Below are 24,631 nucleotides of genomic sequence, written 5' to 3' on the forward strand. Positions count from 1 at the left end.
CTGGGAACACAGGTGTGCACGCACCACCACCCCTGGATAACTTTGGGATTTTTTGTAGAGATGGAGTTTTGCCATGTTTCCAAAGCTGGTCTTGAACTCCTGAGACTCAAGAGATCTGCCCGCCTTGGGCTCTCGAAGTGCTGGGATTACAGGCATGAGCCACTGCACCAGGCCAAATTACGCATTTCTTTTTCTTTAAGATCAAGTCTTGTTCTGTTGTCCTGGGTGGAGTGCGGTGGCGCGATCTTGGCTCACTGCAATCTCTGCTTCCCAGGTTCAAGTGATTCTTGTGCCTCAGGCTCCCGAGCAGCTGGGAGGCCCTCCCCGCAACAACCTGTAGTGGCTGCGCAGCAGCCCCCTTGGATGGGCCCCACACCCTCTCCTTTGCCGCAGTCCCCACTATGCCTTCCTGCCTCCTAGACCCAGACGTCTGGATGCTCCATCCAGACATCATTTCTGCTACCACCTGCCCCTGTGGTAACTTGGGTCTGTGACCCCAGCAATCCATACTGTTTGTTTTCGATGTGAAAATCTTCCTGTTTCTTTTCTTCCATGTTTTAAAGTGTAGATATATATAGAATTACTTTTTGTACAATTCTAATGTAAGCATATATAAAATTTGACATATCTCCTGTTTTTTGGGATATTTAAATGGTGTTTCTAAATTTGTACAACTTTAAACAACTCAGTGAACAGTGTTGCAGACAGAACTTTGTGAACTTGTCCAACTGTCTCCTGCGGATAACCTTTTCTAATTAAGAGGAACTCCCAGATCAAGTACACGCACTACATCTTCGGATCTGTACACAGTAACTGCCCACTATGCCCAATTACAGTGTAGCAGATGCCAACAAATCTGAAAACTACCTACCAGCAGCCAGGTACTATTTTCATTTCCATTTATTTGATTATTAGGGGTGGCTGTTAGCCAACTCCAACAGATTGTGGCCAGGTAGAAAAGCAAGCATTTTTTTTTTTTTTTTGGGGGGGAGACAGGGTCTTGCTCTGTCACCCAGGCTACAGTGCAGTGGCAAGAACATGGCTCACTGCAGCCTTGACCTCCCAGGCTCAAATGATCCTCCTGCCTCAGCCTCCCAAGTAGCTATGACTACAGGTGAGCACCACATCTGGCTAATTTTTGATATTTTGTAAAGATGGGGGTCTCACTATGTTGCCCAGGCTGTTCTTAAACTCCAGGATGCAAGTGATGCTCCTGCCTTGACCTCCCAAAGCTTACAGACATGAGCCACTGCACCTGGCCAGCAAGCAGCTTTTTTCCCTACTTATAATTTTTTTAAACTTCCTCTGTCCATTTTTGAGTTGAGGTGAATAGACCATAGGGAGACTCCTCAGTATAACATCTTCCTCCACAGACATTCTGGCTGGGTCTGTGATGGCTACTTCTTCCCGTCTCACTTGCAGTTGAGGAAGAATGTCATTAAGTTCTGGCTGATGGGACTGAAGCAGAAGTGACCTGTTGCAGCTTCTGGAAGCCTAACATTCCTTAAGAGATAGGGAAGCAGGCTCTTTAGCCTCACTGCAGCCCCTTTGCTGCTTGGAATGTGGATTTATCAGCCAGAGCTCCTTTTCAGACAATGACCTCATGTGATCCTTGGCTATGATCTAGGGGTGGCAGAGTAGAATGCTGGAAGCAACTGGATCCCAGATAAGAGCTGCTAGCCCACCCCTGGGCTGTTCATCTCTGTACTTACACATAGAGGAGAAACACACTTCTGTTTTCCTTTTTTTTTGAGAACCCAAAGTGCCGGGATTACACCCATGAGCCACCACACATGGCTCCACATTTTTTTTTTTGAGACAGAGTCTCACATTGTCACCCAGGCTGGAGTATAGTGGCACGATCTCAGCTCACTGCAACCTCCGCCTCCTGGGTTCAAGCAATTCTTTCTCAGTCTCCTGAGTAGCTGGTATTACAGGCATCCAACACCATGCCCGGCTAATATTTATATTTTTATTAGAGACAGGTTTCACCATATTGGTCAGGCTGGTCTTGAACTCCTGACCTCAGGTGATCCACCCGCCTTGGTTTCCCAAAGTGCTAGGATTATAGGCATGTGACACCGTGCCTAGCCTTAATTTTTTTTTTTTTTGAGACGGAGTCTCGCTCTGTCGCCCAGGCTGGAGTGCAGTGGCATGATCTCAGCTCACTGCAAGCTCTGCCTCCTGGGTTCACGCCATTCTCCTGCCTCAACCTCCTGAGTAGCTGGGACTACAGGCGCCTGCCACCACGCCCGGCTAATTTTTTGTATTTTTAGTAGAGACGGGGTTTCGCCATGTTAGCCAGGATGGTCTCGATCTCCTGACCTTGTGATCCACCCGCCTCAGCCTCCCAAAGTGCTGGGATTACAGGCGTGAGCCACCGCGCCCGGCCAATTTTTTTTTTTTTTTTTAATGAGATGGGGGTCTCACTATGTTAACCAGGCTTGTCTTGAACTCCTCGGCTCCAGCGATCCGCCCACCTTGGCCTTCAAAAGTGCTGGCATCACAGGCGTGAGCTACTGTGCCTGACCCTCTCCCCCAGTTTTTCATGTATCCCTAATCTTTGTTTATGATGTCATTTGCCAGTGAGAATTTATTATTTTTTAGTCTGGCCTTGATGTAATGCAAGAAAAACCTTATCTTCTCCAAGATTATAAAAGTCATTCCCTTCATGCTGTCCTCTCTCTCCCCAGCGTAGTAGCTAGTGTGACCTGGGAAACATAGCCCCTACAATGCCCTGAAATGGCTCTCATCACACTCCAGATCTGAGGCCGGCCCCTGGGCCAATCGCTGTCACCTCCCTGTGGCTCTCTCCACCTGCAAACCTCACCTGCTTTCTTTCCGATCCCCAAACAGACCCTATGTGTTTAATTTCCTTGCCAGCCTTGCTCCTCCTCTAAAATACTGTATTTTTAAAGCTTAAATCAAGAAGAAATATTTGATTTGATTTCTTAAATGTCTTCTCACCATCTACAGATACCATATAATGATTTACGTTAATAGAATTGTTAATATTAAACCATCATTGCATTTCTAGAACAAACTCACTTGGTCATGCTTTCTATTTGCTAATATTTTATTTACATAATTTAAAATCTAGATTATAAGTGAGTCTCATAAGAAAATCTGTAGTTTTCTTTGTTAGGGCTATCTCCGTCAGGCTTTGGAATCAGCGTTATGCTGGCTTTGAACAGATACATGTGTAAGTTTCCTTACTTTGCTCTGGAATATTTCAGAGGGCACAGAGTTTTATTTCCTGAAGAATTAAAAGAATTTGCCTATAAAACTGTTAGGGCATGCTGCTTTGAGCAGCATGAGGAGTAGCTGATAATTAGTTTCTCAAATTTTTTCTTTGGTTATCAGTCTATGTAATTTCCTATATTCTTCTCCTAAGTCAAATTTTGTTACGTATATTCAAAATATTTGTCATAAAAATATATTTCTATTTTCTCCCTATAAAGCAATAGGCAGCCATGTGTCTACTTACAGTGGGATCGGTCCAGAGAGAGCATCTTGAACACTCCTGGCAAGGGGCTCCTGGTGAGCGGGGATGTTGGCAGAAATGGTCATATCCATTAATAGAAACTCGACAGAGGTAGCACATCTGGGCACCACAGCGGCAAGACATGCGGTTGCAGCCTTCAGATTTGATGAGGCCAGTCCCACACTTGTGGCATTTTCTAATGCGGGCAGCAGTCATTTTTTCTTCACTGAAATAAGAAAACATAATTTGGAGCTGGGAGGGAAGATGAGGAGGAAAAAAATATGGCCATTAAGCATTTATTTATTTTCACATAAAATGATCACTTATGGCTTTTTTGTGACATTAAACAGTGAAAAGAGCCTAGGTTTTGGAGTCTGAGAACTGCTTCAAAGTTTTAATTGTATGACCTTCAGTAAATTACTCACCTGCCTGGAGACTCAGTTTCCTCATTTTTAAACTGTGAAAACACAACTTTCTCATGGTGTTTTGAGAATTACAGACAAAATATAAAGTACCCTGGCATAGTGCCCAGTACTCAGCATTTAGAAAAGGACTGCTCTATTTGTTATAGGAATCCCTGTAGGCTTAAAATGGAGAGAACAGGCTGAGCATGGTGGTGCACGCCTGTAATCCCAGAACTTTGAGAGGCCAAAGCAGGAAGATCATTTGAGCTCAGGAGTTTGAGACCAGCCTGACCAACATGGTGAAACTGTCTCTACTAAAAATACAAAAATTTGCCAGGCGTGGTAGTGCACACCTGTAATCCCAGCTACTTGGGAGGTTGAGGCAGGAGAATCGCTTAAACCCGGGAGGTGAAGGCTGCAGTGAGCTGAGACCGTGTCACTGCACCCCAGCCTATGTAACAGAGTGAGACTCTATCTTAAAAAAAAAAAAAGAAAAAAAAAAAGAAAGAAAGAAAACATTGTCAAGGAGATGAGGTTTAGATAAAGTGCATTTAGTACTATTACCTTAATGAGTCACCTCTGTAGTACATCCGTTTATGATTTTAGTTACTCAGCAACTGTGAAGACACTACTCAACGTTCTACAACTCAAGGTTCTGTTTTGTTTTTTTTTTTTTGAGACAGAGTCTTGCTCTGTCACCTAGCCTGGGGCACAGTGGCTCCATCTCAGCTCACTGCAACCTCCGCCTCCCCGGGTTCAAGAGATTCTCCCACTTCAGTCTCCCAAGTAGCTGGGATTACAGGCGCCCACCACCATGCCCAGCTAAGTTTTGTATTTTTAGTAGAAATGGGGTTTCACCATGTTGGCCAGGCTGGTCTGGAACTCCCGACCTCAGGTGATCCACCTGCCTCGGCCTCCCAAAAGTGCTGGGATTACAAGTGTGAGCCACTGTGCCTGGCCTATTTTTTTTGAGACTCACTGCAACCTCCATTTCCTGGGTTCAAACGGTTCACATGTCTCAGCTTCCCAAGTAGCTGGCATCACAGGTGTGTGCCACCACATCACCACACCTGGCTTTCATGCCCGGCCATTTTTTGTATTTTTAGTAGAGATGAGGTTTCACCATGTTGGCCAGGCTGGTCTCAAACTCCTAACCTCAAGTGATCCGCCTGCCTCAGCCTCCCAAAGTGCTGAGATTACAAGCGTGAGCCACTGCGCCCAGCTAGACTCAAGGTTCTAATGAAAAACTTTTCAATTTGAAAAGCTATGTGCCCAAACACAACTGCAATTTTCTACAGCACAAACCTTCTCTGTAAGAGCACCCTGAGGCTGAGGTGCGGCTTTAAGGTGTGGCACTCCAGTTGCCTGGGGCTGGCTGACTTTCCCTGGGAAGCTGCTCAAGGAGAGAAGAGGCTGTAAAGAATTAAGGTTACAGTCTTTTCATGAAGGCTTGGAAAGAGGGTCTATTTGCTTGCTCATCCGATCTGTCTGGCACTGACATGAAATAATAATGGGTATGGAGGGAGAAAAAAAGGCTCTCCTAAAATGGACAGAGGAATACATAAAGCATGCCTGCAACTCAACATTGCTGAAATGTTAAACAGCTATTCAATATTGCTGAAATGTTAAACAGCTATTCAATATTGCACAAATGTCCACTCAAGTCCTTTGCTTCTGCATTTGTAAGAGTAGTACTGGATAGGGCCAGAATGGAGTTTTATTATGGGATGTGGTGACTACCTAGCCAGTAATATAAAAGTGAAAAATGGGGAAAAATCATGGTTGATTCCTTCAGAGGAAAGGTGGTTTGGCAACTAGATTCTCAACCAGGCAGGAAACACAGCCCCGCAGGATGTGCTCCCGGGGCAGGACAGGAAGAGAAGCCGGAGCTGTGACTGTGGTTGCTGACCTTGCGCTCACACAGGAAGGCTCAGGGCCTCTTCTATGCAGCCAGCGACAGCCCAGACTCCTGTAGTTATCTGTGCTCACCACCAGCCAGTGTGTGGGTAACTCCTCTCTGGGAGCCATATTCTGATGGTGGCATAAGCCATGCCCTTCAGATCTCAGCCCGTCCCCTTTGTGAGCGTGAAGATGCATGTGTGTATGCATTCTTTTGCTGTGGTAAAATGCACATAAAATTGACTTTTTAAACCACTCTAACGTATACAATTCAGGGATATTTTGAGTATTCACGATGTTATACAATCAACATCACTATCTAGTTCCAAGAGACTTTTATAACCCCAAAAGGAAACCCTGTACCCACTAAGCAGGCATTCCCCATTCCTCCTTGCCCTGCAACCCACAGCGTGCTTTTGGGCTCTACAGATTGCCATTCTGAGGCTAGGCAAATGCCCATATGCCTCTGATATTTCATAGGAATGGAAATCACACGTGTGTTTTTGTGCCTTTTTTCACTTAGTGTGTTGTTTTCTAGGTTCACCTATGTTGTAGCATGTATCGATACTTCATTCCTTTTTATGGTTGGATAATATTCCATTGTATGAATATATCATATTAGTTTATTCATGAGTTGATGGATTGAGTTTTTTTTGCTTTTTGGCTGGTGTGAATTGTGGTTAAATGAACATTCTTGCACAAGTTTTATATGGACACTTGTTTTCACTTATGTTGGGTGAGTACCTGAGAGCGGAACTGCTGGGTCATATGGTAATTCTATGTTTAACTTATTGGGGAAAGCCAACTGTTAACTATGGCGGCTACACTATTTCTATTCCCACCTCAATGTATACTGGTGTCATTTTTTCTATATCTCTGTCAAGACTTGTTATTTTCCATCGCTTTCATTATAGTCATCCTAATAGGTGTGAAGCGGTATCTTATTATAGTTCTGATTTGTATTTCTGTAATGACTAATGACGTTCAGCATGCTTTCATGTGCTTGTTGGTCATTTGTACATCTTTCTGGAGAAATATCAATTGATATTGTTTGCCCATTTTTTTTTTTTGAGACAGAGTCTCACTCTGTCATCCAGGCTGGAGTGCAGTAGTGTAATATCAGCTCACTGCAACTTCCGCCTCCTGGGCTCAAGTGATTTCCCACCTCAGCCTCCTGAGTAGCTGGAAATACAGGCTTACACCACCATGCCCAGTTAATTTTTAAATTTTTTGTAGAGACTGGGTTTCACCATGTTGTCCAGGCTGGTCTTAAACTCCTGGGCTTAAGCTATCTGCCCGACCTTGGCCTCTCAAAGTGTTGGGATTACATGCATGAGCCACTGTGCCTGGCTGTTTGCCTATTTTCTTTTTTTCTTTTTTTTTTTTTTTGAAACGGAGTCTTGCTCTGTTGCCCAGGCTGGAGTGCAGTGGTGTGATCTTGGCTCACTGCAACCTCCACCTCCTGGGTTCAAGAGATTCTCCAGCCTTAGCCTCCTGAGCAGCTGGGACTACAGGCACGTGCCACCACGCCTGGCTAATTTTTGCATTTTTAGGCGTTTCATCATATTGGCCAGGGTCATCTCGAACTCCTGATCTCGTGATCCACCTGCCTCAGCCTCCCAAAGTACTGGGATTACAGGCATGAGCCACCGTGCCCCGCCTGTTTGCCTATTTTCTGATTAGGCTGTTCTCTTACTGCTTTCAAGATTTTCTATGTCTTTGGTCTTGAACAGTTTGACTCTGATGTGTCGTGGTGTGGACTTCTTTGAGTTCATCCTACTTGGAATTCATTCAGCTTCTTGGATGTATAGACTCTTGTTCTTCATCAGATTTGGGAAGTTTTCAGCCATTATTTCTTCAATATTCTTTCTGTTCATTTTGCTCTCTGCTCTTCTTTGGGCTTCCCCTTAATGTGAATATTGGTACATCAGATGATGTTCTACAGGTCCCTTAGGCTCTATTCACTTTTCTTCATTCATTTTTCTTTCTGCTCCTCCTCCAACTGCATAATTTCAACAGCCGTATCTTCAAGATCTCTGATTCTTCTGCCTGCTCAAATCTGCTATTGAATTCTTCTAGTGTATTTTTCATCTCAGCTATTGTAATTTTGGGGTACAGAATTTCTGTTGGTTTCTTAATTTTTCTTTTTTTTTTTTGCAACAGAGTCTTGCTCTGTCCCCACGCTGGTGTGCAGTGGTGCAGTCTCAGCTCACTGCAACCTCCATCTGCCGGGTTCAAATGATTCTCCTGCTTCAGCCTTCCAAGTAGCTGGGACTACAGGCGCCCGCCACCACATCCAGCTAATTTTTGTGTTTTTAGTAGAGAAAGGTTTCACCATGTTGGCCAGGCTGGTCTTGAACTCCTGACCTCAAGTGATCCGCCCACGTCAGCCTCCCAAAGTGCTGGGATTACAGGCGTGAGCCACTGCGCCTGGCTGGTTTCTTAATTTCTATCTATACTCTCTACTTGTTCATACACTGTGCTCCTGGTTTCCTTTAGTTCTTTGCCCATGGTTTCACCTGGCTTTCTGAGCATATTTAAGACAGCTGATTCAAAGCATTTGTTTAGTATGCCCAATGTGTCCTCAGAGATGGTTTCTATCAACTACTTTTTTCCCTGTGAATGGGCCATACTTTCCTGTTTGCTTTATAAATTATTGTTGAAAACTGGGTGTTTTGAATATTATACTGAGAAGAGTCTAGAAATCAGGTTGCTTTTTGTATGGTTTGAGATTGTTTAGTGACTTTTAAAAATTATTTTTGTAAATTAGCCGGGCATGGTGGTGCATGCTTGTAGTCCCAGCAACTCGTGAGGCTGAGGCATGAGAATCGCTTGGGCCCAGAGGTGGAGGTTGCAGTGAGCTGAGATCGCATCATTGCCACTGCACTCCAGACGGGGTGACAAGGCGAGACTCCATCCCAAAACAAAACAAAACAAAACAAAAGGAAAAAAAAAGGGGGCCAGGTGCCGTGGCTCACACCTGTAATCCCAGCACCTTGGGAGGCAGAGGCGGGCAGATAATGAGGTCCGGAGATCGAGACTATCCTGGCTAACACGGTGAAACCCCATCTATGCTAAAAATACAAAAAATTAGCTGGGTGTGGTGGCACACAACTGTAGTCCCAGCCACTCAGGAGGCTGAGGCAGGAGAATCGCTTGAACCTGGGAGGCGGAGGTTGCAGTGAGCCAAGATTGCACCACTGCACTCCAGCCTGGCGACAGAGCGAGACTCCATCTTAAAAAAAAAAAAAAGAAAGTTATTTTTGTAAAGACTATTCCTTGTTATGTGTGGTCACTGAAGTCTCTGTTGTATTAGCTTAGTGGTCAATGCCAGGAAAAAAAAAAAATGAAAGAACCAATCCTCCCATCCTGATCTTTGCAGTTGGAGTACTCTGAGTTGACTCAGCCAGGTCATCTGTAACTTTCTTAGTTTTTGAGTTCCTGTTAATACAGAACCTAAAGCTCAGTGTGAGGTGAAAGCCTAGGGTCTTGGGTTTTTCTGAGCATGTGTTGAGCCCTAGACATGTACGTAGTCTTCTAGATCTGTCTTGGCTTGCCCATGTGTTACTCATTGCCTCAGGCAGCTGCAGCTGGTACATGCCTCCAAATGCTTTCAACACAATCCACTGGGAGGCTGTTTCAGCCCTGAGGAAGTTGTGAAAGGTGAAAAAAAAAAAGGGAAAAAGTTGCCTCTGGCAGTTTTTGCCAGGTTAATTCTTGCTCTGGTGGGAGATAGGAGTTTTTGGAATTCCCTACACTGTCATGTTTTTGTAATGTCACTCCCTTGAGTGTATTTTTTGAGAAGAACTAAAGTTTGGTGAACAATGCAGCTGACTTGCCATGTCCACATCTGAAACCTTCATTTTCTTTCTTTCTTTTTTTTTTTTTTTTTTTTTTTGAGATAGGGTCTTGCTCTGTTGTTCAGGCTGGAGTACACTTGTACAATCATGGCTTACTGCGGCCTCGAACTCCTGGGTTCAAGGGATCCTCCTGCCTCAGCCTCCCAAGTAGCTGGGACTACAGGCACGTGCCACCATGCCTGGCTAATTTTTAGATTTTCTGTACAGAGAGGGTCTCACTTTGTTGCCCAGGCTGGTCTTCAACTCCTGGGTTCAAGCAATCCTTCCGCCTTGGCCTCCCAAAGTGCTGGGATTACCGGTGTGGCAGCCATTCATTTTCCTATACTTAATCTCTCCCACTCCTGGTTCTTTGGGTTAGCTCGTATAGTTTTATCACCCAAGCTAGAAGCCTGAGAATCATTCTAGACTCCTTCCGCTCTTACTTCCCGTATCTATCAGCTACCAAGACCTGTTGATTTTACATCTTAAATATTTCTTAAATTTATCCCCTCTTCTCCATTTATAATACTACAAACCTATATTGGAGCCCTATGATAGAGTGGCTTAGACTACTGTAATGGCCTTCTAAATTTTCTCCTTTATTCAAGTCTTGCTTTCTTTAAAGCTACTTGCCCTGTAGCCACCAAAATCATGTAACTTAGGCCATGACATTCATTTGCTTAGAAGTATTTCATGGTGGGCCACCCAGACACTGCATAGCTCTGGGTGTTTTGTAATTTGAGATGCACAGAGCCACCTGTGAAATGTTCTCACCAAAAACCTTTGAGTGAGAACCTAATCAAGCCTTTAGCTCTATTTTTTTTTTTTCTTGAGATGGAGTTTTGCTCTTCTTGCTCAGGCTGGAGTGCAATGGCGTGATCTCGGCTCACCATAACCTCTGCCCCATAGGTTCAAGTGATTCTCTTGCCTCAGCCTCCTGAGTAGCTGGCATTACAGGCATGCACCACCATGCCTGGGTAATTTTGTATTTTTAGTAGAGACAGAGGTTTCTCCATGTTGGTCAGGCTAGTCTCGAACTCCCGACCTCAGGTGATCCGCCTGCCTCAGCCTCCCAAAGTGCTGGGGTTACAGGCGTGAGCCACTGTGCCTGATTAGATCTAAATTTTAATTTATAGAAAATTGAAGGGACAGGCCAGGCACGGTGGCTCACACCTGTAATCCCAGCACTGTGGGAGGCCAAGGCAGGCGGATCATGAGGTCAGGAGATCGAGACCATCCTGGTTAACACGGTGAAACCCCGTCTCTACTAAAAATACAAAAAAAAATTAGCCAGGCATGGTGGCGGGCACTCATAGTCCCAGCTACTCGGGAGGCTGAGGCAGGAGAACGGTGTGAACCTGGGAGGCAGAGCTTGCAGTGAGCCGAGATAGCGCCACTGCATTCCAGCCTGGGTGACAGAGTGAGACTCTGTCTCAAAAAAAAAAAAAAGAAAAGAAAAAAAGAAAACGCAGGGGACAGAAGAACAAGTTAAATGATACCACGAGAAACCAGCCAACTCTAGAAGACATTCTACAGGCCAATTATCAAATGCAATGAATCTCATTTGGATCCTAACCTGAACAAACTAACTGCAGTACACATGTAAAGCTAATTTGAGATAATTAGTGGAACTGTGAAGTTGGTATGAGATATCAAAGACTTAAAATTTCAATTTTAGTTTTGTTAGTGGTCATAAAGGTAAGTGCTATATAAGAAAAAAAGGTTTTATGGGTGAAATGACATGCTGTCAGGGATTTGGATTTGCTTGAAAACACTATAGCAGTTTAAAAACAAGAAAGTGACGGCCGGGCGGGCGCGGTGGCTCACGCCTGTAATCCCAGTACTTTGGGAGGCTGAGGTGGGGGGATCACTTGAGGTCAGGAGTTCGAGACCAGCTTGGCCAACCACGGCCGACAAAGTAAAACCCCATCTCTACTAAAAATCCAAAAATTAGCTGGGCGTGGTAGCAGGCGCCTGTAATCCCAGCTACTCGGGAGGCTGAGGCAGTAGAGTCGCTTGAACCTGGGAGGCGGAGGTCGCAATGACCCGAGGCACTCTAACCTAGGTGACAGACGGAGACTCCGTCTCCAAAGGAAAAAAAAAAAAGACAGAAAGAAAGGGAGGGAGGATCACTCAAGCTCAGGAGGTCAAGGCTAAGGTTAGCTGTGATTGTGCCATTGTATTCCAGCCTGGATGACAGAATAAGACACTGTCTCAAGGCGAGAAAAAAAACGTTTTGACATCTGGCAGGATTCTGTTGCTCTTTGGTCCCAGAGGGGCTATATGATAAGGAAAGGCAAGTTGAAGCCCGTGGAGCACCCTCTCTCTAAAAAAAAAAACACATCACCAGATTCCTTTGGGCATCTTCTAGACTGGCACCACCATCAAAGACTTCTAAGATGCAGAGGCGATGATTCTTTCACATCTCTTTTTACTTCTCATTTGGCTTGTACAGAAGAATGGCTCTTGGAGGACAGTGTATTACTTTAAGCCTCAACAGATGCTGACTAAATGTGGCTGCTGTTTTAGATGTCATCTCTCACCAGAACAAACAGCCCCTGGCAACTGGTATGCTGCGAATGATTTGGAAAATGCTTTTCCTGTCTGTTCGATAATCAGAGAACACCAGCAGCCAGTGAGGACCTTGATTATGTCGTTCAATAGGATAACACACCGTTCTACTTGAACGACATGCAGATAGAACCTGGTGAACAGGAAGTAGCAGTTATGGTAGTATGTATTAATATGCTACATGAATGCCAGAAGGTTAGAGAGAGAAATCCCTTGAATGTAGGAATGTGTCATCTCTATGAAGTTCTGGTGGTCTGGAGGTCAGGCATGTATATCATGATATCCCTTCCAAAGCTAGGCTCATGACAGAAGCATCCTCTATCACTAAGGAAGAAGCCCAACATTTGGGAGGCTGTTTTTGATTTTTGGAATCAACATATATCACATTTGGATGTTCTGCTCTTATCCACTTACTGCTGATCTAAAAGGCTGCCAGGTTTAAATAGGACCCAGTGGTGGGCTATGTGTGGCAGACCAAGACGCTGAGCGGAACCAGTGCCAGGAACCGATAGGACAATCAGAATGAAGGCTGTGCTTTGTAAGTAATTCTCCTTCCAAGAAACATCTCACAGCCTGCTACTGAGTCCTGTAGTAGTCCAGATGCCTTATCACAGGGCTGCATTCCCTCCTGGAGGCCTGAGGAGAGAGTATGTTTGCTGCTCATTTGGGTTGTCTGCAGAATTCAGTTGAGGTTGTAGGACCGGGGTCTCTATTTTCTTGGTGGCTGTCAGCTGAGGGTTTTCCCAACTTCTACAGGCTACCTCAATCCTTGGCTCATGGCCACCTTCATCCATCTTCAAAGCCAGCAACAGGGGGGTCAAGTCCTTCTCACGTTTGTTTGACTCTTCGTCCCACACTAAGGACTTTCTGCTTTTAAGGATTTGTAATTAGACTGGGTCTACTCGGATAATCCAGATAACCTCCCCATCTCAAGGTCCTTAACCATACAACCAAGGGCAAATCACATGGGCCTCAGCCGCCTCATCTGTAAGAGAATAATGGTACCCACCTGTGCTGCATACTTGGGAAACTGCCCAAATTGCCATTGCCCACTTCATTTTCTGAGTACCAAACTCCTTCCATATCCTTCATATTTAAACTGGACATAAAGTCACCCAACTACAGGCTACATACGGTGCTTGCCTTGCCCACGTGACAATCTAGACCAATGCGATACGAGCGGAAGTGAGATATATGTATATAATTCCTGTATCACTTATAACATAAAGAAAAGCTGCCTGCTTGGCAAGTTGTCTATTTCCCACTTTCTTTGGGTTTGAGTGTAAATGTGGCCACAATCTAGTTACAATCATGCAGAAGAGAATATCACCTTCAGGGAAGGGTGAAGCAGTTAGACAATCTTCTCTTTTTTTTTTTTGAGTTGGAGTCTCGCTCTGTCGCCCAGGCTGTAGTGTTGTAGTGGTGCGATTTTGGCTCACTGCAACCTCTGCCTCCCTGGTTCAAGCAATTCTCTTGCCTTAGCCTCCCAAGTAGCTGGGACTACAGGTGCGTGCCCACCACTCCTGGATAATTTTATTTTTTATTTTTTGTAGAGATGAGGTTTTACCATATTGCCCAGGCTGGTCTCAAATTCGTGAGCTCAAGCGATCTACCTGCCTTAGCCTCCCAAAATGCCAGGATTACAGGCCTGAGCTACCCTGCCCGGCTGTGAGACAATCTCTGAATAACGTCAGGAGATAGATATGCACCCTCAGCTGCATGGTAAGGCTAGATTGTTATGAGAGAAGAGAAAGAGATTTCAGTATTACTTCGGTCATTGCATTCTTTTTTTCTTTTTTTTTTTGAGACGGAGTCTCGCTCTGTTGGCAGGCTGGAGTGCACTGGCGCAATCTTGGCTCACTGCAACCTCCGCCTCCCGGGTTCAACTAATTATCCTGCCTCAGCCTCCCGAGTAGCTGGGATTACAGGCAAGCGCCACCATACCCAGCTAATTTTTGTACTTTTAGTAGAGATGGGGTTTCACCATGTTGGCCAGGATGGTCTCAATCTCCTGACCTCGTGATCCGCCAGCCTCGGCCTCCCAAAGTGCTGGGATTACAGGCGTGAGCCACTGCGCCTGGCCTGCATTTTAATAAGTGAGTATTTGTAATGTGCTCAGCCACACAGTACTATACAAGTAATGGTTATTATTATCACAGGCGTATCATTTTGTATTCTGGAGGTGGGCAATTCTACTTAGGTCTCAGGCCAACAGTTTCCTATAACACAGACATAAGCAACACTAGTGCAGTCTAAGTTAATTAAAACGCGTTACTTGCTTATTTAGAAAATAAGGAAAAGGGGGACCATCATTTATTGAATTCACAGGTGCCAGGCATTTATATGTTAGTTTGTCTTCTGAAATAACTCCATGAGGCTGCAGAGATGAGGAAACAGAGGCTCAAGGGTTAGATTACTTCCCCAAGATCACTCCAGACTGGGGTGGCTCAAGCGTGTTCTTCCGACAACAGTATGCCCTCTCTACCAAAAAGCAGGTTAATGGGGAAGTTGAGAATCAGCCCATAGCCCCTCTGAATTCTGTTACTCACATAGAGGTACGGTACTTGATGTCGTCTTTTTCAGCCAGCTCTTCACAGGTGAGGCCATTATGTTCTTTCCAGAGTCCCTGACACTTCCTACAGGTTTCCTGGGGATAAAGGACAGACACAAAGACAACTCCTGGTGAGTGGACACCACAGAAGTTCCTGTTCAACAAAAGGGATATGAAATGAGCTTTACTTGGCTTGAATTCTTTCAGAGGATGCCTCTCCTTTTCAGGGGGGATATTTCTAAAGACATCTTTTAATAGAAGAGGTTAAGAGGTGGTAGGGCTAGGTGGCTGACGCCTGTAGTACCAGCACTTTGGAAGGCTGTGGCAGGCCAGGAGTTTGAGACCAGCCTGGGCAACAGAGTGAGACCCTGTCCCTTAAAAAAAAGACAAAGAGTTGGGGGAGGAGAGGGGAGTGGTAAGAATCATTAGAAGGACGCACAAGGAAAAATTTCTCTCCCTAGATCAAAAGGAAGTGTTGCTCCCATCACTTAATTTGCATAAGCCTTTCTAAAATGCTCTGGGCCATCTGAAAAAACCAAAGGAGACGGATCTTGGGTAATCTTGGGTTTTTAAAACACAGTAGCACGAGCTGCTTGGCAGGGCCTGTTTGGATCTCGTTAATCTCTGCAAAATCCCTGTGCCCACAAGCTGGCGTCCAAAACTCGCTTCTACTGGATTGAAGAATGGCCTACTTCAGTTCACCAGGGGCTCCTAAGGGAGACTTTCCTCCGTTGCTCATCACTCATCGGCATGGATGTCACCCTTAAAAGTTTCACTTCATATATAAACATGCATCTTAAATAATCACCACCTTTATTCTAGGATCCTTCATAGTTTATAAAATGCTTTCATATGTGCCAGAAACTATCCCACATCAGTAAGAATAATTTAAAGAGCCAGGCGCGGTGGCTCACACCTGTAATCCCAGGAATTTGGGAGGCCGAGGTGGGCGGATCACGAGGTCATGAGGTCAGGAGATTGAAACCATCCTGGCTAACACGGTGAAACCCTGTCTCTACTAAAAATACAAAAAAAAATTAGCTGGGCGTGGTGGCAGGCGCCTGTAGTCCCAGCCACTCAGGAGGCTGAAGCAGGAGAAAGGCGTGAACCCGGGAGGCGGAGCTTGCAGTGAGCCGAGATCGCGCCACTGCACTCCAGCCTGGGCGACAGAGCAAGACTCTGTCTCAAAAAAAAAAAAAAAAAAAAAAAAGAATTAAAAAAAAATGTTAATCCAATGATCACAGGCATTAAATGGAAATTATAACCCTAATAGGTTACAGTGAAGGAAAACATAGTGTTGTCAGTTTTAAGTGGGGCCCTGATCTAGTCTGGGGAGACAGTGAAGGCTTGAGGAAGTGAGGCCTGAGATCCAAAGGACGAGTCAACGATGAATAGGGCGGCGAAAACAGATCAACACTCCAGACAATGGGCAGCAAGAGAAGACTCTGGCAGGCAAAGCCGGGCATGTTCAGTTCCTATGGCTGGACTGCAGACAGTAAGCATGGCCCTGGAGGCCTGCACGCACCAGACCAGGCAAGGCCTTGAAGGGCATGATGAGCAGTTTTTTCTTTATCCTATGAGCACTAGGAAGCCCCCAAAAGGTGCCAAGTACGGAAGTAACACGATCAGGTATGTCTTTTAAAAAAAATCATTCTGGGTGGAAAACACTGGAGGGAGGAAAGAGTGAACGTGCAAAAGACAGAAGCTAGTAAAGCCACTCAGGAGAGAGGCCATGAAGGCCCAGACAAGGGTGGTGGGCAAGGACAGGTAGAAAAGGGGACTGACTTGAGAGCAAGGGAGGAAGTAAGACTGGTGGGTGTAGAGATGAGTCGCCGTGCCTGGCCCTTTTGTACATTCTGAATTTTATACTATATGTGTACTATCTAATAAAAAGAATTTAAAAAGGGAGAAAAATGGAACAGAATGCTGAGGGAGCTGAGAACCTGACCCTTCTGGTGGGATGTCGTAAAAAGCCTCAATCAGGGTGGGCATGGTGGCTCACACCTACAGGTGCCTCATTCCAGCACTTTGGGAGGCCAAGGCAGGCAAATCATTTGAGGTCAGAAGTTCGAGACCAGCCTGGCTAACATGGCGAAACCCCACCTCTAATAAAAATACAAAAATTAGTTGGGCGTGGTAGCTGGTGACTGTAATCCCAGCTACTTGGGAGGCTGAGGCAGGAGAATCACTTGAACCTGGCAGGTGGAGGCTGCAGTGGGCAGAGATGGCACCACTGCACTTTAGCCTGGGAAATACAGCCAGACTCCGCCTCAAAAAAAAAAAAAAAAAAAAAAAAAAAGGCTCAATCAATGGGCTAGGGTGGGTGGGGCAGAGAGGAGCTGACAGGACATACATTTAAACGCACTGCTTCCGAGGGATGCGGATATGCTCTGTTCCCTCACCTACATCCCATTCAGTAAACAAAGGTGATATATATTAGGGTGCCTAACTATTACCCACCGAAACATACAGCAGCACAAACCCATTTTTATAAGAAACAAACCCTGTGCCTGACTATTGCAGGAAGCTGGAGGACAAACAACAGCTGGAGAATAGATGAGCTGATGTTTGGCTCCTAACCTCTAAAACAATGCCAACCCAGCCCCTTCCAGGAGTAACAGCTTGAAAACAATACATGGCATTTAGATACTTTTTAGCATTCCTGGCAATTCCGTTATTAATTCATGGGTCTTCCTCATAAGGGAAGAAACCCCATTTTTGAGATGAGGCACAGGCCCACCAGGGCAAAATGACCTGGCCAGGCTGGAGCCAGGTGCATGTGAGGGCCACTGTGAGGCCCTCTGCTCTGCTCACCCTCTACGTCACAGTGCTTCTTCTGTAGGTGAACGTGTGGGTTTTCAGCCAGGGCGCTTCTTACTGAAGGGCCCGAGGGTCCCGGAGAACATATCTGAAACGTCTTTTGAAAAGACTGTAGCACTTTGGGAGGCCGAGGCGGAGGGATCACCTGAGGTCAGACATTAGAGACCAGCCTGGCCAACACGGAGAAACCCCATCTCTACTAAAAATACAAAAATTAGCTGGACGTGGTGGCAAATGCCTGTAATCCCAGCTGAGGCAATCCCTGTGAGGCTGAGGCAGGAGAATTGCTTGAACCTGGGGGGCGGAGGTTGCAGTGAGCAGAGATCGCACCACTGCACTCCAGCCTGGGCAACAGAGCAAGACTCCATCTCAAAAAAAGGGGGGACAAAAAAAGACAAGACCAGACCATGTAGCTAGATATGAAACCCACAATTAAAATAAGGCAAGCAAACACCAGGCTGGGGAGTTTAACATTTGGAGCTCTCTCTGTGTAGTGTCTTTAAAATGTACTCTCTCTTCTAAACAGTGTAAATTTTACTAAATTGTAATTTTCTCCTCTCAGGCACAGCTAGGCTTTGCTCCTAAACTCAGCAAATGCTTACGCATATTACGAAGAAACGCTCTTGAATGGTTTTTTTTTGAGCCAGGGTCTCACTCTGTCACCCTGGCTGGAGTGCTGTAGTGTGATCTCGGCTTACTGCAACCTCCACCTCCTGGGCTCAAGCGATCTCCCACCTCAGCCTCCTGGGTAGCTGAGACTACCAGTGATCATGCCTGTAATCCCAGCACTTTGGAAGGCTGAGGGGAGCGGATTACCTGAGGTCAGGAGTTTGAGACCAGCCTGGGCAACATGGTCAAACCCCATCTCTACTAAAAATACAAAAATTAGCCGGGCATGGTGGCGGGCTTCTGTAATCCCAGCTACTCTGGAAGCTGAGACAGGAGAATTGCTTGAACCCAGGAGGTGGAGGTTGCATTGAGCTGAGATGGTGCCACTGCACTCCAGCCTGGGCGGCAGAGCAAGATTCAGTCACAAACAAACAAACAAAGTGCTGGGATTACAGGTGTGAGCCACTGCGCCCAGACTCTTGCATGTTTAACATGATAACCACATTCTTCAATCTGTGGTTTACAAGAAAGCCCCAAAGGGCCATTTTGGAAGGCAAAGTACACTTTGACGAGTAACCTCAAAACATGAAGAACAGGGTATCGTGGCCATCGCGCGGGACCACACTTTCTATCCCCTTGTGCCTTTCCGACTGGGGGAAACCACGGAGTTCACCGTCATCCCAAATACAGTAAGCAGGCAAGCAGCTCCCGCCCTCTCAGGGGGGAAGGAGCATGCATGCTGGGTAGTTTGTTAACAAGTAGCCCGCCAGGCCACGTTCTTCACGTCATCATGGAGGTTGCTGGTTAAGTTTATGATGCCCTTTTGTCCTCAAAATACATTAAGGTGTTTTGGCTGTTCATGAGGTCTTCACTTTGCAATATAAAGAAAGCACTTCCGTCTTCCTTTATTCATTTTCTGCTGCCTGAATAATGATTAATGAATAAAGCAGAAGATTAAATTCAATTCCAGATGACCCTATCATGATGGGAGCTGAAATTTCTTCACATAAACAGCTTTCTCAAGAACCAGTAGACAAATGTATCCGGCCACCACCTCCTCCAAGCCCAGCAAGTGTGATAATAATCTTGAGACCTTTGGGTCTGTTGGCAAAGAATCCAAAAGAAAATCTGAGCCCACAGGCCAAAGTCACCGGGTTCTGTGTTTGTTTCCTTGCCTTCCTTGCAAAGCCACCTGGAAGGTGTCCGTCCCCATGCGTGCTAGATTTCAGTTGCTGACTTCCATCCAGCCTTGTCTCAGAAGCAGAACAAAGTACAAACTGCTCCCTTACTTTTAAATGGTTCCTACAGTGAAACCTGTCAACTCACTCTCTAGGGGGAGAGAAGTCACTGACATGCCACAGGGCATTACGCTGTTGCCAATCCAGAAGTAGCTTCAGAAATTTCAGCTCTCTGTTCTGTCACCTCAAAAAATGGTGAGACTGGGCCGGGTGCAGTGGCTCACACCTGTAATCCCAGCACTTTGGGAGGTGGAGGCAGGTGGATCACCTGAGGTTGGGAGTTCGAGACCAGCCTGACCAACAGGGAGAAACCCCATCTCTACTAAAAATACAAAATTAGCTGGGCGTGGTGGCGCATGCCTATAATCCCAGCTACTCAGGAGGCTGAGGCAGGAGAATAGCTTGAACCCAGGAGGTAGTGGTTGCGGTGAGCCGAAATCTTGCCATTGCACTCCAGCCTGGGCAACAAGAGTGAAATTCTGTCTAAAAAAAAAAAATAATAAAATAAAATGGTGAGACTATAAATCTCCAGCACTCTTGAGGTAAAAGGCCCACACACTTGACTATTCGCAAATGCTCAGCCAGGGACCACAGGACCGTGGGCTTCCAGGCCATCTGTGTCTTCTAGTTGTCAAAGATGCTGGTCCTCCCCACCCATACGCCCAAATGACATACAGAAGGCCAGAAAGACACTGATTTTAAGATGGAACCCCTTAAATCTCAGGAGTTTATGCTGCAACCCCTGAGAATCAATAAAGTTCAGCAAAGTCAAAGCTCAGGTAGATTCAGTGAACTTTCTTTCCTTTTACTAAGGGAATCCAAGAACCTCTATTTTTCCTAGGTCAAGAATGCACATAACAGCCGAAGAAGGCTTGGTCCTTGCCCTCAAGGAGTGCACTCTACTGAGAGAGTTACATATCGGGGCAAATCAAGCACAGCATAATGGGGGTTCAGTGTAATGTGCACGCACACACGGCAGGGGAGCATGCATGTGCATGCAGAGGAGAAAGAGGTGAGTCAGACAAGGATTCTTTGCGGAGCTGACATCTTCATGGGATTGACTACAGTAAGTGCCATGAGTAATCAGAACCTCCATGCAACCAATAAAGTGCTTCTCCTACTGGGATCTACGTCTTAGTGAAACGCTTTTCCAGCAATGACAGCCATTAAAGCCAAGTATCTGAACCTCAGAACCAGATGCTCAAACCAAACATTCCAACAATGAAACATAGTTCAAAAGATTCCTATTTTAATAAGCACAAAGTTTTCATCTCATTAAATAAAATTATTTTGGGCCGGGCACAGTGGCTCATGCCTGTAGTCTCAGCACTCTGGGAAGCCGATGTGGGCAGATCACGTAAGCCCAGGAGTTTGAGACCAGCCTGGCAAACATAGTGAGACCCCATCTCTACAAAAAATACAAAAATATAGCTGGCTGTGGTGGTATGTGCCTGTAGTCTCAGCTACTTGGGAGGCTGAGGGGGAGGATTTCTTGAGCCTGGGAGGTGGAGGTTGCAGTGAGCTATGATCAAGCTACTGCACTCCAGTCTGGGTGACAGAGAGAGACTGTCTCAAAAAAAAAAAAAAAAAAAAATTTTTTTAACTGACTTGAATAAAGCAGTATATTTTAAAGTATGATTTATTTCATTACACCCTTTTAAATTTTCTGTATCTGTGTATGTTTTGCCATGTTATGTTACAACAGTAGCACACATGTAACGTACAAATAAACACATACGCTGGGGGTGTCCTCTGCACAATTTTTCTGATACGGCAAGCAATAAAATTGTACATCTGCCGCTCTCAATACTGAAGCGCCATGGAGGAGGCCTGGAGAGTGCAGCAATGTGTCGGAGTTATGTTTCAGAATACTTCCATTAATTAGTGAGCTTGAGACCAAAGACAGAAAGATGGTTGAGAAGCAACTGGAAGAGTCTATGAAAGAGATGAGGGTGAGAGAGAAGCCTAGAAAGACTTCTAGGCTTCTGATGTAGGACACTAGCGAGATTGGTGGAAACATGAACTTAGATCAAGTGGTGCAGAATAAGATCTGAGTGACGGTGGGAGGCAGAGGCGAGTTTAGTTCCAGACCAGCTTACTTATTCACTCATTTATGTGCTCTTCCAGTATCTGCTGAATTTCTGTCATTTGTATGAGACACCGGAGATACAGCAATAAACAAGTTAGGCTCAGTTTCTATCTTCATGACATTTACGTTTTACTGAAAAACACAGATATTAACTGACACTAGGGGCCTAGTCAGAGGATGCGACATTTAAGCTGAGTCCTAAAGGAGGAGTCGGCCAGGTATGGGTACAGAGGGAAGAGCAAGGGTGAAGGCTTCAGGGCAGGAGAGGGTCCGTCTCATGCTGAGAAAGTCAGTATGGCTGGAGCCCAGTGGGGGAGAGTGGAGAATGGACCATGGTCACCCAGTAGGACTGAGGCTATAGGAAGGAGTTTGGAAAGCTAGGCTGACCAGGTGGGAAATGCAAGCATCTGGTTGACATTTCAAAAGATTCTTCTGGCTGCTACTGTTAAAGGGATGGTTTGCTGGGGTTGTAGGACCTTGCAGCACCCCCTTTCTAAACTAAGGCCAAGTAAATAACTTCTAGGGGAACAGGCTCGGAGTGTGGATTTGATTCTTGCTTAGATTTCCTCAACAGTCCTCCATAAATAAGGGCACAGCTTACTTCCTGAAACAAGGTGTGCCAACACCAAGCCTGGCAGGGGCAGGAAAGGCTAACCTGCGATGGGGCAATAGCAGCACACCTGTACTTTTTTTGTTAAGAAGAAGAGAACCACATTTTCTGATATGGCTTCAGAAAGGGACTTTATTACTATTCTTCTTAATATTTTAATTACATTCATTAATTTTTTTTTTTTTTTTTTTAGAGACAAGGTCTTGCTCTGTTGCCCAGGCTGGAGTGCAGTGGTGCCATTATAGCTCACTATAACCTTGACCTCCTGGGTGCAAGCAATTCTCCCGCCTCTATCTTCCGAGTAGCTCGGACTATGAACACGTGCCACCACAGCTAAATTTTGTTATTTTATTTGTACAGACAGGTATTGCTATGTTTCCCAGGGTGCTCTCAAATTTCTGGGCTCAAGCGATCTGCCCACCATGGCCTCCCAAACTGTTGGGATTATAAATATGAGCCACAGAGCCCGGCCCTGTTTTAAATTCTTTTTTTTTTTTTTTTTTTTTTTTTTTTTTTTTTTTTTTTTTTTTGAGATGGAGTCTCGCTTTGTCACCAGGCTAGAGTGCAGTGGCGCAATCTCGGCTCACTGCAAGCTCTGCCTCTTGGGTTCAAGTGATTCTCCCACCTCAGCCTCTCGAGTAGATGGGAATACAGGCGCCCGCGACCACACCTGGCTAATTTTTCTATTTTTAGTAGAGACAGGGTTTCACCATGTCGGCCAGGATGGTCTCCATCTCTTGACCTGGTGATCCACCCATCTCGGCCTCCCAAAGTGGTGGGATTACAGGCATGGAGCCCTGTTTTAATGATTGACTGAGACAGGGTCTCACTGTGTCACCCAGGTTGGAGTGTAGTGGCACAATCTTGGCTCACTGCAGTCGCGACCTCCCTGGCTCAAGCGATCCTCCCACCTCAGCCTCCCAAGTAGCTGGGACCACAGGTGTGCACCACCATGCCTGGCTAATTTTTTGTAGAGATGGGGTCTTGCCATGTTGCCCAGGCTGGTCTCAAACTCCTGGAGTCAAGCAATCCGCAAGCTTCAGCCTCCCAAAGTGCTGGGATTACTGATGTGAGCCACCATGCCTGGCCTGGGGAACATCTTTAACAGAGGTCTAAAACTCCTGCTTTTCACAGTACTAGCTCCATGCTCCTGAAGCCTTAGGTTTTTTTTTTTTTTTTTTTTTTTTTGAAACAGCATCTCGCTTTGTCACCCAGGCTGGAGTAAATTCCGACTCACTGCAACCTCCGCCTCCAGGGTTCAAGATTCTCATGCCTCAGTCTCCCAAGTAGCTGGAATTACAGGTATGCACCACCATGCCCGGCTAATTTTTGTATTTTTAGTAAAGACAGGGTTTCGCCACATTGACCAGGCTGGTCTTGAATTCCTGGCCTCAAGTGATCTGCCCACCTCGGCCTCCCAAAGTGCTGGGATTACAGGCATGAGCCACTGCGCCCAGCCCCTGCAGGCTGTTTTTCGAAGGGATTGGGTCTCACTCTATTGCCCAGTCAGTGGCGCCAGCATAGCTCATGGCGGTCTCCTCAGTAGCCTGAACTTACAGGTGTGCGCCACCATGCCCAGCTTGTAGGCTTAGGTTTTTTGTTAAAGAAATAAATGAGACCTGCTAGGACTGAAAACTTACACATCTTCACAAAGGGTGCTTTGCATACACATCTCAATCTTCACAGCAACTCTACAGGGAAGTACTGGAGAATTATTCCCATTTTTAAAAAAGTAAATACGGCTGGGCATGGTGGTTCACTCTTGTAATCCAAGCATTTTGGGAGGCCGAGTAGGGTGGATCACTTAAGGTCAGGAGTTTGAGACCAGCCTGGCCAACATGGTGACATCTCGTCTCTACAAAAAATACAAAAATTAGCCAGGCGTGGTGGTGCAAGTCTATAATCCCAGCTACTTGGGAGGCTGAGGCATGAGAATCGTTCGAACCTGGGAGGCAGAGGTTGCAGTGAGCTGAGATTGTGCCACTACACTCCAGCCTGGGCGAGACAATGAGACTCTGCTCAAACAAAAACAAAAACAAAAAAGGTAAGAGAAAAAGAAGGCTCAGAGGGTCCAATTAATTTGGTCGAGGTCACAGAGCTTTAGACATGAGTCTGTCTGATCCCAAATCCACTTGCTCTTACTCTAGTCCCACTGTGTGCCCACATGGCGTTTGCTAGCGAAAGCAGGTCACTGTTTACTGGAGAACCCAAGGGCACGTGGCTATGAGACAAGCTGAGGTTACAATGGCATCTTGTGTGAGAAGACCACAGAGGAACAATCAGCAAATCTGGGTGTGAGCATCAGGGCATCAAAGGCATGGCCGTGCAGCTGCAGCTGTGCAGGATGTCTGCTTCCTGGAGAGCTGCGAATGGCTCAGTAAGAGGCAGGATGGGATGGAATCAGACCTGAGGATACCCTTTCTTACTGGTAACGATAGGAACCTGCTAATCACAGGGTGATCTCAGACTGGACACGTGTGAGGAAGTAGCTGTTCCTGCCACCTTTGGGCAGTTGCA

General features: G+C 45.8%; 1 protein-coding gene across 10 annotated transcripts in view, besides 1 other annotated feature; it reads right to left on the reverse strand.

Moving 5' to 3' along the window:
- Positions 1–24,631, reverse strand: part of RNF216 (ring finger protein 216) — a 161,617-nt gene that overhangs the window by 17,620 nt on the left and 119,366 nt on the right. For 8 of the 10 annotated variants that reach the window (NM_207116.3, NM_207111.4, NM_001377156.1 and 5 more), the window contains 2 exons: positions 14,747–14,844; positions 3,488–3,710 (listed from right to left, as the gene is read on the reverse strand). In NM_207116.3, the coding sequence (NP_996999.1) occupies positions 3,488–3,710; positions 14,747–14,844 (321 nt within the window). Of the gene's footprint in view, positions 1–3,487; positions 3,711–14,746; positions 14,845–24,631 lie in introns of those variants that run through there. The other 2 variants (XM_047420528.1, XM_047420527.1) reach the window with 1 other exon arrangement.
- Positions 1,695–2,559: an enhancer, noted in NCBI's record as "H3K27ac hESC enhancer chr7:5678992-5679856 (GRCh37/hg19 assembly coordinates)". NCBI's record gives its function as "activates a minimal SCP1, AML or CMV promoter by ChIP-STARR-seq in naive H9 embryonic stem cells {active_cell/tissue: H9 hESC(naive)}" and the evidence as "EXISTENCE:reporter gene assay evidence [ECO:0000049][PMID:30033119]".

The sequence above is a fragment of the Homo sapiens genome, chromosome 7 (genome assembly GCF_000001405.40).
Source record: "Homo sapiens chromosome 7, GRCh38.p14 Primary Assembly".
NCBI lineage: Eukaryota > Metazoa > Chordata > Mammalia > Primates > Hominidae > Homo > Homo sapiens.